This window comes from Homo sapiens, chromosome 3, assembly GCF_000001405.40.
Source record: "Homo sapiens chromosome 3, GRCh38.p14 Primary Assembly".
In the NCBI taxonomy this organism is placed as follows: domain Eukaryota; kingdom Metazoa; phylum Chordata; class Mammalia; order Primates; family Hominidae; genus Homo; species Homo sapiens.
In genome coordinates, this window is record NC_000003.12 from 138,668,808 (window position 1) to 138,683,908 (window position 15,101).

At 37.8% G+C, this 15,101-nt stretch overlaps 1 protein-coding gene across 13 annotated transcripts in view; it reads right to left on the reverse strand.

The window, feature by feature from the left end:
• Positions 1-15,101, reverse strand: part of PIK3CB (phosphatidylinositol-4,5-bisphosphate 3-kinase catalytic subunit beta) — a 182,231-nt gene that overhangs the window by 16,110 nt on the left and 151,020 nt on the right. For all 13 annotated transcript variants that reach the window (NM_001437290.1, NM_001437286.1, NM_001437289.1 and 10 more), the window contains 2 exons: positions 14,871-14,980; positions 13,160-13,238 (listed from right to left, as the gene is read on the reverse strand). In NM_001437290.1, coding sequence (NP_001424219.1) covers positions 13,160-13,238; positions 14,871-14,980 — 189 coding nt within the window. The remainder of the gene's footprint in view (positions 1-13,159; positions 13,239-14,870; positions 14,981-15,101) is intronic.

Here is a 15,101-nt window from a genome sequence, read left to right on the forward strand (position 1 = left end):
CCAAGCAACCTGCCATCAACCACCCATGCCATCCCTCTAAGTCCCCACTACCCATCAACCCACACCCTGCTTCTATGTGTATATATTATTTAGCTTCTACTTATGAGTGATATTATGTGGTATTTATCTTTCTTATCTCTGATTCTGACTCTGACACAATGACCAAAGTCTGAGTAGTACCTTAGCCATGGCTTCCAAAGGAGAAAAGTTTAAATCTTTTACCTAATGCTTGCATTATTTCCACCTTCTTCCTCCAACCCTCTGAGATGCTGACACCACTATCATTAAATAACTTTTGTATAGGTCTCTTAAAAGGGAAGTAGGCCAGGTGCGGTGGCTCACGCCTGTAATCCTAGCACTTTGGGAGGCCAAGGTGGGCGGACTGCTTGAGTCAAGGAGTTTAAGACCAGCCTGGGCAACATGGTGAAACTTTGTCTCTACAAAAAGTAAAAAAATTAGCCAGGTGTGATGACAGGTGCCTGTGGCAGCTACTCAGGAGGCTGAGATGGAAGATCACCTGAGCCCAAGGAGTTGAGGTTGCGGTGAACCATGATTGTGCTACTGCACTCCAGCTGGGGTGATACAGTGAGACCCTGTTTCAAAAAAAAAAAAAAAAAAAGGGGGGGGGGATGTAAAATGTAAACTCCATTAGTGTAATTCAGATATGAAGTCTTAATGGAGGCAACTGTCAAAAAATTGATTTCACATGTATTTGTTGGGGTAGAGTGGGGGTGTGCAGAGGACTGGCAAATCTACCCACGGCCAGATAGGTTTATATGTAGCCAGCCTATAAGATTTGCTTATTACTTCTTCACCAAAGGAGGTCAGGGAGTCCTAACACATCAATGTCTTATAAATGATCTAAGCTGACATGAAAGGTATCAAAAGAGTATTTTGGAACGTCATAGAAAAATGAAAATGAGCATTATGTATTTTCATTCATGCAAACATGGCACTGTTACAAGTACTAAAACAGTAATGTACAGAAGGTACCTCAAGATTTGGGATTGACCTTAAAAGAGTGTGTGCTACATGACCCACTTTAACCTAAACAGCTGGCCGAAAGAAAAAACAAACAAAATAGAAACATTGGAGCACATATATTTATAGAAACAGTAAAAAAGGTTTGGTGAGAAAAAGGTACCAGTTTGGAAATGAACTTAAAAAAAAATTAAAGTCCTTCATTTTTTAAAAACATGGGGTCAAAGTACAAAAAGTCAGCAAAGATCTCACTGGACAGACAAGTTCCTTTTTCTTCGCACAATGCTTCCCATCAGCTAGACACTAGGTTTATTTCCAGCACTCCCACATGTGGGTGCCTCCCATTGTCTGAGGTCACAATGAACTTCATTTGATGCTAAATGTGCTTTACATTTAGATAAATAAAATCAAAACTAAGAGAGAATAACTTGGTTGGGGTTTTCAATTAGGCTGATGGAACTAAGAATGCCAGGAAACAGTCTTTAGCTTAGCTTTTCATAACTAAATGAAGCTCATGATATGGCCTGAATCTACTAATTAGCAAAGGAGACCACTGTGTAGCTTCTGTGCTAACCTTGGAAAGAACAAATGAGTTACTAAACTTCAGCTTAAAGTTTCCCTCCTTTTTTGTGGGATCAGTCAAGTAAAAACATATTCCTGGGGGCTTACTTTATATAGGAGGAGTTGGTAAACTCTTCCCAGAATGAGCCAGATAATAAATATTTTAGGCACTACAGACTAAACACTCAACTCTGCAGTTGCAGCACAAAAGCAGCCATACATAATATGTAACCAAGTGGCTGTGTGCCAATAAAATTTCATTTACAAAAACAGGTAGCCCAGGTCCAACTGGGTTTATGGTCCTCAAGCAGACAGTTTATTCTAATGACCTATTCCTCTTATCTATGCAGTATACCTTATGAGTGTTTGAAAAACTAGCTACCTATTCAAAGCTACTAATTCTATTTTTACACAGCTGCATTAGAAATTCCTCCTAATTTAAAAGAAAAAAATCTGTCACCTGTAGTAGCCACAGTGTCCTTTTTAGATGAATTATGATCTCTTTTCTTTATTCTAATCACAGCTACAATCCCAAATTGCTCTTTCTACCTTTACACTACTGGAAAGTGTAACTTGGAAAAACCTAAAAATAAAAAATTATTTCTTTTTTTAAAAAAAAGGAAATTTAGGTATTTTAGGCACCATTATACTCTGATAAACAAAGAGTAGTACTAGACATGTCTTACCACATTATTTTCTCACTTAGCCAGACTGGTAAAATAATAAACAGGCATTAATTTAGAGTCTGACAGTCCTGGATTTGAATTTAGCTCTGCCATTTAATATTTCTGTAACCTTTGTTTAAAACCTCTAGCATTTTAATTTTTAATGTGTTAAAAAGAAATAACATAGCCCCATAGATATGTAAGCCTATACGATATTACTTACGAGAAGAACTTAATACAATGCCTGGTTCAGTCAATAAACAGCAAGGGTTGCAAGTTTTAAAAATATATATACACATATGTTTCATAATAACAGACTATAACTGAAACTTAAGAAATTAATCAGGAGATATTATAATCTTGCAGGAACAAAGTCGATCACACGTCTAACCGTTTCCAGCAACCTTGTAGACTAAGGTTGTTGCAGATACTAAATCACATTAAAAAAATGATGAAGTCCAAAGGTTTTATAAATAGGTGTGGTTAAAAAAGAAAGAAAAAAAGACCTCTAGGTTCCAAAAATAGAGATTTCTCACAGCAGTGGCTCAGGAAGTTAGACTTGGCTGACATTTCAATGCCCACCAAAAACAGTCACGGACTTAGGCCCATGAGGTAGGATCTGGACCCGACAAAGAACTGTTAGGAATAACACTCAAAATCCTAAGGAAACTGAACACTTGAACAAAGGATTCTTAGCAAAGCAATTTTACTTCTGCGTAGAGGGGTGCCTCCTTGGCCAGTTGCCATGAGAGCACACCTGAACAAAGGGGCACGACAGCCTTTATTCCTGACGCAAGTCCTGCCTCTGCATTCTTTCCCCATTGGCTGGGGTTGGGTTGTACAATCTAAACTAATCCTGGTTGGCTAAACATCTGAATTTTTTTAGATAGGGTGGGCACATGAAGAAAAAGTGGAGAGAAAGGGGAAGGGGTGTCTGTAATGAGCTAGAAAGTTAGTCCTCTTTCTAAATAAGGAAAGGAATGTGAGCTGGTACTGATAACGCTTGGTACTGTGGTGTGCCTGGGGATCTAACAAAGGCAAAAAGGAAAAAAAAGGAGAAAAAGGAGAAAAAAAGTGGGGGGGTTCTATAAATTAACGAACAAAAGATTGATCAGATTATTTGAAGAGGAACCTCATCATATCCCACACTACACAAAACTGAGGTCTGGGAGGACTGGAACTCGAAATATCTTTTCATTGATCAGATGATGTGGCATGAAAGTTTCCCATCTACCCCAGAAACTGGGTAGGCAAGAAAAAAAAAAAGTTTCATGTAAGTGCAAAACTTCAAGCCTTCCCACACTCTCTTATGAGATCTAAATATAAACTATCTATGAGGTGTGATGGTCTGAAGGCAGGGAGTTAACATAAAAACTGGCTGATTGTGTGTACAGGCCTTTGGCAACAGCTCAAACAAAATACAAACTCATTTTTAGAGATCCATTCACAACCCAGGGAGCAAAGGACCTTTACAGAAAACATAATTATCCATCAATAATGAATTCAAAACTGAGTATTATTAACTATATAAGGAAATGAATAAAGTCACGCAGATAAATGAAAAAGTAATATCCCAAGAACTAAAAAAGAACAATCTGAAAGAGACTTTAGGCTGGGCGTGGTGGCTCACGCCTGTAATCCCAGCACTTTGACCTGGGAGATGGAGCCAGGCGGATCACCTGAGGTCAACAGTTCAAGACCAGCCTGGCCAACATGGTGAAACCCTGCCTCTACTAAAAATACAAAAATTAGCCGGGCGTGGTGGTGGGTTCCTGTAATCCCAGCTACTGGGGAGGCTGAGGCAGGAGAATCGCTTGAACCTGGGAGGTGGAGATTGCAGTTAGCCAAGATCGTGCCACTGCACTCCAGCCTGGGTGACAGAGTGAGACTCCGTTGAAAAAAAAAAAAAAAAAAAAGAGAGAGAGAGAAAGAGATGAAAAAGAATAGAAAGTCTAAGCAGAAAAAAAATACAATACAGGAGAGTAAACATTGTTGCAGAGATAATGAACTGGAAAAGAATAGGAAATTACTAAGAAAGTCACATAAAGATATGAAAAGACTCAGCCTGGTCTCAACGCCAGAGCACACAGAGACTTGAGTAAAACTGTTATAATGATAAGATATGAAAAGATAGAAAATATGGAAGGTTAAGAGACATAAAGGAGAGAACAGGAAAGTTTAATATAAATCTACTAGAGCTGCAGAAAAAGACAATGAGAGTGGGAGAACTGCAATACTGAAGGAAATGTTCAAAGTTTTCAGAAACTAAAAGATGTGACTTCTTTGAAAAGGCACAATGAAAATGGTGATAAAAAAAAGAAATAAAAGAAATACACACGCACAGATTGTACTGCAGACAAAGGCAAAGAGAAACTTTTTGATGCACTAAGGTGTAAAAAAGACATTACTTACAAAGAACCGATAACCAGACCGAGAACAGACTTTTTAAAAACCGAGACTAGAAGACAAATGAATAATATCCTCAAGGCTTCTGAGGAAAGCAGTCAATTTGGATTTCAAACTTCTATAGCCAAATGATATCAAACTCTGAATATCTACTTCTCCATAAAAGCAACAAGAATACTGACAAAAATTGTTGAAATCAACTATTTTAGAGTTCTGAAAATAAAACAAAGGCTTGCAGCAATCCAATAAGTGTTTATTTAAAACACACACACACGTACACACACACATACACACACACACACCCCAACGTGAATCTGTTTTGTTTTACCATGGCCTAGTCCCAACCCCCTTCCCAGTTATGTGGTAGCCTTGACAACAAATAGCCCACAATCATGGTGAATGCATGTCTGACAGCCACTAGAGGAAAGAAAAATGAAGTTGGAGCTCCTTCAAAGCCTGATTCCCACAGAACTGTCATTCTTTGGCCTCTCTGGTAGTTTCCAGGAAGATCCCACTTACAATACTATGTTTATTTGACCTGACTCAGACCTCACCTAGCATGAACTGCCTTTTTCCTGGGGAGTTTCTCAAAAATACTCAGAGGCATCTGTTTAACATTGTAGCTGTCTTGGGGGTAAATAACAGTTGGGGGAACCAACAAGCTAACTGAAAGCTTAAAAGGAAAAGGTAGGTAATTACATGTCCATATGGTGCACTGAAAAGCTCCAAAATTACTGGTAGGAATCTAGAAGGCCGTGTGCATGGATACTATTGTGGATTCCCAGGTCTGTGTACATGCAAAGGAAAGAGCTTACAAAGCCCTGGCTCTCAACTATGGCTAACTTTGAGGCTTTGTGAAAGCAGAAAGTTAGGGCTAAGGCACAGTTCTGAACCACCAGGCTGACTGTTGAAGGCATGACCCAACATGTGCATAAAGTGCCTCAGCAGACTGGAAGAGGGGTGGATTCCAGGCATTTAAGAAAATCAGGTCAACCATTAGCTGACCAATAAACTAAGTAAAGACATCAGTGACCACACATGACAAAAAATATAAACTTTACATAATTAGTTCAAAAAAGTCACTAAAATAAACAAACAGCCACAACGACAAATCCTGAAGGGAGAAGGAATCTGAGTTTCAGAGTTGTAAAATTATTTAAAGTGAACAGTTTTTGGCAAAAAGTATGTGACATACAAAGAAACAAAAAAGCATGGCACACATACAGGAAAAATGCATTCAATGAAACCGTCCTTCAGGAAAATCAAATTTTCAACTTATTACACAAAGATTTAAAAATCCCTATTTTAAACATGTTCAAAGAACTAAAGGAAACCATGTTTAAAGAACTATAAGGTTGGGGGCGGTGGCTCACACCTGTAATCCCAGCACTTTGGGAGGCCAAGGCAGGTGGATCACCTGAGGTCAGGAGTTCAAGACCAGCCTGGCCAACGTGATGAAACCCTGTCTCCACTAAAAGTACAAAAATTAGCCAGGAGTTGTAGTGGCCGCTTGTCATTATCCCAGCTACTTGGGAGGCTGAGGTGGAGAATCGTTTGAACCTGGGAGGTGGAGGTGTCAGTGAGCCGAGACCGCGCCACTGCACTCCAGCCTGGGCGACAGCACAAGACCCTATCTCAAAACAAAACAAAACAAAACAACTGTGAGAATGATGTATCAACAAAGGAAGACTATCAATAGATAGATATTATTTAAATGAATCAAACAGAAATTCCAGAGTTGAAAAGGGCAATAACTGAAATTTTAAAATTCACCAGGTAGACACAACAGCAGATATGAGCATAATAAAAAATTGGCAAACTTGTGGATAGGTCAATTATCCAATCAGAGAAACAAAAGAAAAAATAATGAAGAAAAAAGAACAGAGCCTTAGAGACCTGTAGAACACCACCAAGCAAAGCAATAAATGCATAATGGCGTTTAAGAAGGAGATGAGAGAGAGAGGCAGAAAAAATATATGAAAAAATTATGGCTGGAAACTCCCCAAATTTTATGAAAAACAATAATATATATGTCCAGGATGCTCAATTAATTCAAAGTAGAATAAACTCTAATAGAAGTAGGCATATTATAATCGAACTGTCAAGAACCAAAAATAAAGAGAATCTTGAAAGGAACAAGAGAGATGTGACTCATCACTTACAAGGATCTTAAATAAGATTAACAGCTGATTTCTCATGAGAAACCAGGGAAGCCAGAAGAAAGTGGGATGACATATTAGACATGCTGAAAGAAAACCTATCAAGTAGCAAAATTCTTATTCAGAAACAAAGGAAAAATTAACACAATCCCAGATAAATGAAAAGAGAGAAAGAACAAAGGTTGGAGGATTCATTCTTCCTGGTTTCAAAACTTATTATTAATTTACAGTAATCAAAACTATACATAGGGACAGACATATAGAATTGAACTTAGAGTTCAGGAAAAAACCTTCACATGTACAATCAATTGATTTTTGACATAGATGCCAAGATAATTCAATGAAGAAAGAATAATCTTTTCAACAAATGGTGCTGAGACAACTATACATCTAAATGGAAAAGAATAAAGTTGGATTCCTACCACACACACTATTTAAAAATTAAAGTGAACAAACAACCAGAAAAACATATTTGCAAATAATTTATCTAAGAAGGGTCTAGTATATAAAATATATAAAGAATTCTTATAACTTAACAATAAAAAGACAAATAACCCAATTTACAAATGAGCAGAGGATCTAAATGGACATTTCACCAAAAAAGGTATAGAAATAACCAACAAGCACATGAAAAGCTGCTCAACAACATTAGTCATTGGGAAAATGCAAATTAAATCCACAATGAGATAACACCTCAAACCTACTAGGGTGGCTATAATAAAAAAAGATGGACAATAACAAGTGTTGGTGAGAATGAAGAGAAATTGGAACCTTTGTACATTGCTGGTTGGAATGTAAAATGATGCAGCTGTGTGGGAAACAGTTTGATAGTTTCTCAAAAAGTTGAACATAAAGTTAACATCAGTTCCAGTAATTTTAATCCTAGGTATTTACCAAAAGAATTTAAAACACAGATTGACTCAAAAGTTGTACACAAATGTTTATAGCATTAACTGTGTACATTTATCTATGTATAGTTTTATAGCAGTTATTGTAATAGCAAAATAGTGAAACCAACCAAAATATTCATTAACTGATGTATGGATAAATAAAATGTGGCACATCCTTGCAAAAGAATATTGTTTGACAATGAAATGAAATACTGGTTACTGTTAAAACATGAATACACTTTGAAGCCATTACGCTTAGAGAAAGAAGCCAGTGACAAAGGCCCCATATTGTGTTTCCATTTATATAAAATGTCCAAAAAAGGTACATCTATAGACCATTAATTAGTGGTTGCCTAGAATTGGAGTGGTTTCAGGGAGGGGGTTGGGGGTAACAGCTAAGGAGTGCAGGGTTTTTGAAGGGTTGATAAAAATGTTGTAAAATTAATTGTAGTGATGGTTGCACAACTCAGAAAATGCATATAACCACTGAAATGTACACTCTAAACCAGTGAATTGTGATATGACAATTATACTGTATCCCAATAATAGTAAACAAAAACTCCATACCCAGCTAAACTATTATGCAAGATTTTTTTTTTTTTTTTGAGATGGAGCTTCGCTCTTGTTGCCCAGGCTGGAGTATGCAATGGTGCCATCTCCGCTCACTGCAACCTCCCCTTCCTGGGTTCAAGAGATTCTCCTGCCTCAGCCTCCCCAGTAGCTGGGATTACAGGGATGTGCCACCATGCCTCACTAATTTTGTATTTTTAGTAGAGACGGGGTATCACCATGTTTGTCAGGCTGGTCTTGAACTACTGATCTCAGGTGATCCACCCACCTTGGCCTCTCAAAGTGCTGGGTTACAGGCGTGAGCCACCGTGCCCAGCCTTACTCAAGATTGAGGGTAATATAAATTCATTTTCAGACAAAACCCGGAGTGAGGGAGTATGGTACAAAAAGCAATGGTGAATGAAGAAATATTTAAAATTGTATACAAGAAATTCTAGTAAAAATTCACTGTAACGAATAATATAAGGAGTTGTTAAATATTAGTTAAAATATAAGTGGTAGAATTTATCCTAAAGTACCTATAATGATCAAGAAGAGGGCTAAGTTATGGATTAATTTTGGAATTTGTTAAATCTGGCTGGGCGCGGTGACTCATGCCTGTAATCCCAATACTTTGGGAGGCCAAGGCGGGCGGATCACCTGAAGTCGGGAGTTCAAGACCAGCCTGACCAACATGGAGAAACCCCGTCTTACTAAAACTACAAAATTAGCCAGGCATGGTGGCACATTCCTATAATCCCAGCTACTCGGGAGGCTGAGGCAGGAGAATCACTTGAACCTGGGAGGCGGAGGTTGCAGTGAGCTGAGATCGTGCCATTGCACTCTGGCCTGGGCAACAAGAGGGAAACTCCCGTTTCAAACAAAAAAAACTTGTTAAATCAAATATGCAGTTTAAAAACTTAAGAATATTCCCTAAAATAAATAATATAGTATATAAAGATTCTATATAAGAGCTGGGTATGGTGGCATATGTCTGTAATCCCAGATACTTGTAAGACTGAGGTGGGAGGATCGCTTGAGGCCAGGAGTTTGAGACCAGAGAGAGCAACATAGTGAGACTCTGTCTCTCAAAAAAAATTTTAAATCCCAAAGTGCTTGGGATTACAGGCATGGTGGCATGTGCCTGTAGTCCTAGCTACTCAAGAAGCTGAGGTGAGAGGATTGCTGGTACCCAGGAGTTTGTGACTGTAGTGAGCTATGATTCTGCTACCCAGGAGTTTGTGGCTGCAGTGAGCTAGGATTGTGTTACCAAGGAGTTTGTGGCAGCAGTGAGCTATGATCATGCCAGTGCACTCAAGCGTGGGTAACAGTGAGACTCTATCTCTAAAAAAAATTTTTTTAATAAGTAAGAATTTAAAAAGTATTTTATAGAAAGGGAAAATGAAAATTTAAAACCCCTATCAATCCAATAAAAGGAAATAAATGAGAAAAAGGACAAAAACAAGGATGTAAATATAAAACATACAATAAGATAGTAGAAATAAATAAGTATATAGTAATCACAATAAACAATTAAAATTTCCTAATAAAATACATTCATATTGGAGTAAATCCATCCTCACAAAAAAATTCAACTATATGCTATTTACAGGAGACAAATATAATATAAAATGAAATAAAAGTTAAAAATAAAAGATACAAAGGTAAATACTAACCAAAATAAGCTGGTATACAAATGTCAATTTTGGACAAAACAGACTAAAACAAAATTACTAGGGATTAAGAGGCATATTTCTTAATGATAAAGGAGGGCACAGAAGCTAAAAGAAATCAAACCTTGTATAGATTTACAAATATAAGATCAATGCTTGAGGCCAGTAGTTCGAGACCAGCCTGGCCAACATGGTGAAACCTCGTCTCTACTAAAAATACAAAAATTAACCAAGCCTGGTGACCCGTGCCTGTAATCCCAGCTACTCGGGAGGCTGAGGTATGAGAATTGCTTGAACCCAGGAGGCAGAGATTGCAGTGAGCTGAGATCCTGCCACTACACTCCAGCCTGGGTGACAGAGTAAGACTCTGACTCAAAAAACAAACAAACAAACAAAAAAAGAAAAAACAAATATAAGATCAAGATAAACAAAAACTGATAAGATTTCAGGCAGGCAATGACAAATGTCAATTATAATAGGAGCTTGTAACATACCTACGAAGTGACAAATCAAAACTGAAGTTTAATGAGAATATAGATCTGAACATATACTTGATACAATAACAACACAATAAAATTAGAAATCATAAAGAGAACAAAAAAGTATGCCTTTGGAAATTAAATTTTATTTATTTATTTATCTATTTATTTACTGAGCTAGGGTCTTGCTCTGTTGCCCAGGATAGTCTTGAACTCCCGGGTTCAAGCGATCCTCTCACCTTGGCCTTCCAAAATATTAGGATTACAAGCAAGAGCCACTGTATCCAGCTGTAATTTTAAATAGTTCAGGAGTCAATAAGATAAAAATAGAAATTATGAAATATTTAGAATTTATATACTGTTTGATATATTATGAAAGTACATAAATATTTCCATTTTAAAAGTTAAGAGTTCTTTTTTTTTCTTTTTTGAGATTAGGGTCTCACTTTGTCACACAAGCTGAAGTGCAGTAGCGTGATCTTGGCTCACTGCAGCCTTGACCTCCTGGGCTCAAGAAATCCTCCCTCCTCAGCTCCCAAGTAGCTGGGACTATAGGCACATGCCAACATGCCTGGCTAATTATTATTATTATTATTATTATTATTATTGTAGAGACAGGGTTTCACCATGTTGCCCAGGCTGGTCTCAAACTCCTGAGCGAAAGTGATCCACCTTGGCTTCCCAAAGTGCTGGGATTACAGGCGTAAGCCACTGCACCCAGCCAAGAGTTCATTTTAAAAAATGAGAACAGAATAAACACAAAAGTAAAAAAAAAAAAAAAAAAGTAATAACTGATAAAGTAGGAAACAAAAAAATCAACAAAATTAGAAGCCCAGCTGAAACCATACTAATAAGGAAGCAAATCTCTAATAATAACTGACAATAACTGCATATAAAAAGAAGAAAAGACAGGGGGCGGCGACTCACGCCTGTAATTCCAGCACTTTGGGAGCCCAAGGCAGGCAGATCACAAGGTCAGGAGTTTGAGACCAGCCTGACAAACATGGCGAAATCCCATCTCTACTAAAAATACAAAAATTAGCCGGGCGTGGTGGTGGGTGCCTGTAATCCCAGCTACTCGCGAGGCTGAGGCAGGAGAATCACTTGAACTCAGGAGGCGGAGGCTGCAGTGAGCCGAGATCGCACCACTGCACTCCAGCCTGGGTGACAGAGCGAGACTGTCTCAAAAAAAAAAAAGAGGAAGAAGAAAAATATTAGACACAGCATAGCACAGATTTTAAAATTACAAGAGGATGTTATAAAAAAATATGTGGTAATAAATTTGAAAACACTGATGAACTGGACTATATCTTTGTGTATAAATCTCTGTCTACAATTCCAATTTTAAAGTAAATTGTGGAAATACTGGATATAAAGAGTATAAATTAACTTCATACATTAAGGTTTATATTAATTTATAATAGTATATAAAAATACCTGTGTTTTTGTTGCTTCAATAGCACCCTAGACTGGATTATCATTTAAGAAAATCTTTGTTAGGATATCCAGTTGTTCTTTTTTTTTTTTAATTTTTTGAGACAAAGTTTCGCTCTTGTTGCCCTGACTGGAATGCAGTGGCATGATCTCGCTCACCGCAACTTCCGCCTCTCAGGTTCAAGCAATTCTCCTGCCTCAGCCTCCCGAGTAGCTGGGATTACAGGCTCCTGCCACCACAACCTACTAATTTTTTGTATTTTTAGTAGAGCTGGGTTTCACCATGTTGGCCAGGCTGGTCGTGAACTCGGGACCTCAGGCAATCCACCTGCCTCGGCCTCCCAAAGGGCTAGGATTACAGGAGTGAGCCACCATGCACGGCCCAATTGTTCTTATAATCTGTACTTCTTAATTGGAACTGACAATTTTCATGTTAGTTTTTTTTTTGTTTTTTTTTTTTGAGACAGAGTCTCACTTTGTCATCCAGCCTGGAGTGTAGTGGTGCAATCTCTGTTCCCTGCAACCTCCACTTCCCGGGTTTAAGCGATTCTCATGCCTCAGCCACCAGAGTAGCTGGGAGTACGGGCATGTGCTCCACGCCTGGCTAACTTTTGTATTTTTAGAAGAGACAGGGTTTCACCATGTGGGCCAGGCTGGTCTCAAACTCCTGACCTCAAGTGATCTGCCCGCTTTGGTCTCCCAAAGTGCTGGGATTACAGGTGTGTGCCAACATGCCTATTAGTTTGTTTTTATACTTTTTATAAAATGCCTTTTCACATCTTTTCCTTATGTTCACTTCTATGGGCTCTTTAAATATTTACCCCTTGTTCTGTTCATTGTGAATACGATTCCCAGTCTGAGGCTTGATTTTATGTTTCCTTTTTTCTGTCACGACACCACAAACCTCTTCCGCTCACTATCTACCCCTATTGATGGTGGCAAACTAAAAACCTGAGAATGCACCTAAACATTTTCCTCTCTTTTCCCTTGGTAGGTAGAGAAATCAATGTCCCTGGACTAAGTATAAAAAGGCACAGGACTTTCTCTGGCCTTGTCATTGCCATGACCCACAGTACATCTTTCAACACCATAGGTTGGAATGTAATTCTGGCTGTCTGTCCAAACCTTATTAAAGTTCAAACCTATTCCTTCTTTCTGGAATTTCAGTAACATGTGTAGTTTTAAACTGAAAAAGTTTAGGCAAGACAACATATTTGAAAGTACATTCTAAAGTGCTATATAAATATTATTATGAACAACAACTAAAAATAAGAACAAGAGGGAAGGAATTAACAAGAAATTCTAGATATTTTTGCTATGGGAAGACATTAGACTGAAAAAAAAAAAAAGACTAGATCTCACCGAAGATCCAAACCAGCTTCTTTCCAGAGTAAATCCATCAAGCGCAACATTTGGAGTGTCAACATATCCTGTCGTAAATCTAAGGGAAAACAAACTGCTTCATTACAAGTGCTTTTCCTTTTATGCCCTGTAACTCATTAATTCAAGACTAACTCAGAATTAACTAAAAACATTAACAAACTCTGTGCTAATATTTTCACTAATTTTATAACAAATATTACACTCTTTGGATAGCATGTCCCTGTGACATTATTTCAGACATTAAATTAAAAGATTTTTTAAATTGTTTGCCATGTGTAAGTTACATCCTATTGAATATAAGCATAGCTTCGGAGAACTTTTAAGATTTTCCTTCCTTGATTATATTCTACCTCCCGAGGCTGACAGCTGGCCCTACTACTCCCATAAGGCAGTGACTTTCTGCTTGCTATTCACAGGAGATTCACTGCGCAAAGCACAGTCACTTACTAGAGGTCCGAGAGGATAACACATGGGTTCAGGGGTACTAATTGTATGCTGTAATACTGTTTGTATTACACTGTATGTGTATTACATTAATTACATGGTTAATTTTTTCCTTCTTGCTTGCTTTTACCACTATACGGAGAGTTCTTAAGAATCACGTAAGTAACTGCATCACGAGGTCACAAAACTGTAATGGTTCAATTTATTATCATGTCTAAGGGTATTTTCAGGGAAGAGAGCACATGAAACTAGTGACATCCACATAATGACATTTGTATGGTCAAGTGACATTAAATGTTTAGCAAAACCCTATGAGTTCTTTTTAAGTTGTAAGCACATATTCTGATAAGCACATTTGCTTATGTTATCTCAATTCCTTTTAATAACCCTGACATACAGATGCTATAATTCTCAAGGATATGAAAAACCTGAAGCTCAATCAGTTTTCTGTGCCTTGTTTGTAGTCACATAACTAACAAGTCACCACTGCCTATTGGCTGGTATGATTACTTCAGAGGCATTTCCTTTACACATTTTGGGTCTGTTAGGTACTTTCATCAAAATACAAAACTATGGCAGCAAAATCAATATTGCTATCACTGAAACAAGATGTATGAATATATTACTGAAAATATCCTTGCCTGGGCACGGTGGCTCATGCTTGTAATCCCAGCACTTTGAAAGGCCGGGGTGGGTAAATCACTTGAGCTCAGGAGTTCAATACCACCCTGGTCAACATGGTGAAACCCCATCTTTACAAAAAATACAAAAAGTGAACCAGGTGTGGTGGTGTGTGCCTGTAGTTCCAGCTACTCTGGGGGCTGAGGTAGGATGATCACTTGGGCCTGGGAGGTGGAGGTTTCAGTGAGCCAAGATCGTGCCATTGCACTCCAGGCTGGGTGACAGTGAGACCCTGTCTCAAAAAAAAAAAAAAAAAAGTAAAAATAATATCTTGTATTTCATAAGCTTTTTAATCAAAGGAGTAGGCGCGTTTTGTATTTTGTAGGGGGAAATAAAAGAAGGTTCATTAGGACAGTATATTTAAGTGAATGGTATAAATCATTTTATAAGAGGGGGAAAAAAAAAGCATTTAGGACATGTTCAACTTGACTTTAGGACCATTAATAGCTACCTTCCTGGCTGCAAATTGTTACACACTTACACTACACATCACCTTTCAGATAAAGCAAAATGGCAACAAATGAAAAATTCTAAGAAATTTGATGTTAAAAATCTCAGTACTTACCATCACCATTTTTAAAAATCACTCCAACTGAATCCTCACCAAATACCTTGTTATTGTATACCAGCCACAAAGGCTTCATTTTGGAATCCATGTATTTGCACTTTTCAACACTGAAATCAAGTGGGGAAAATTAGTCAACTTCAGTGTAATGATACAGAAGATTATAATTTTACCACTATATACTAGGCTTGGGAAAACTCCTCACCTATTCCTGTCAGGTCTGCAGAAGAG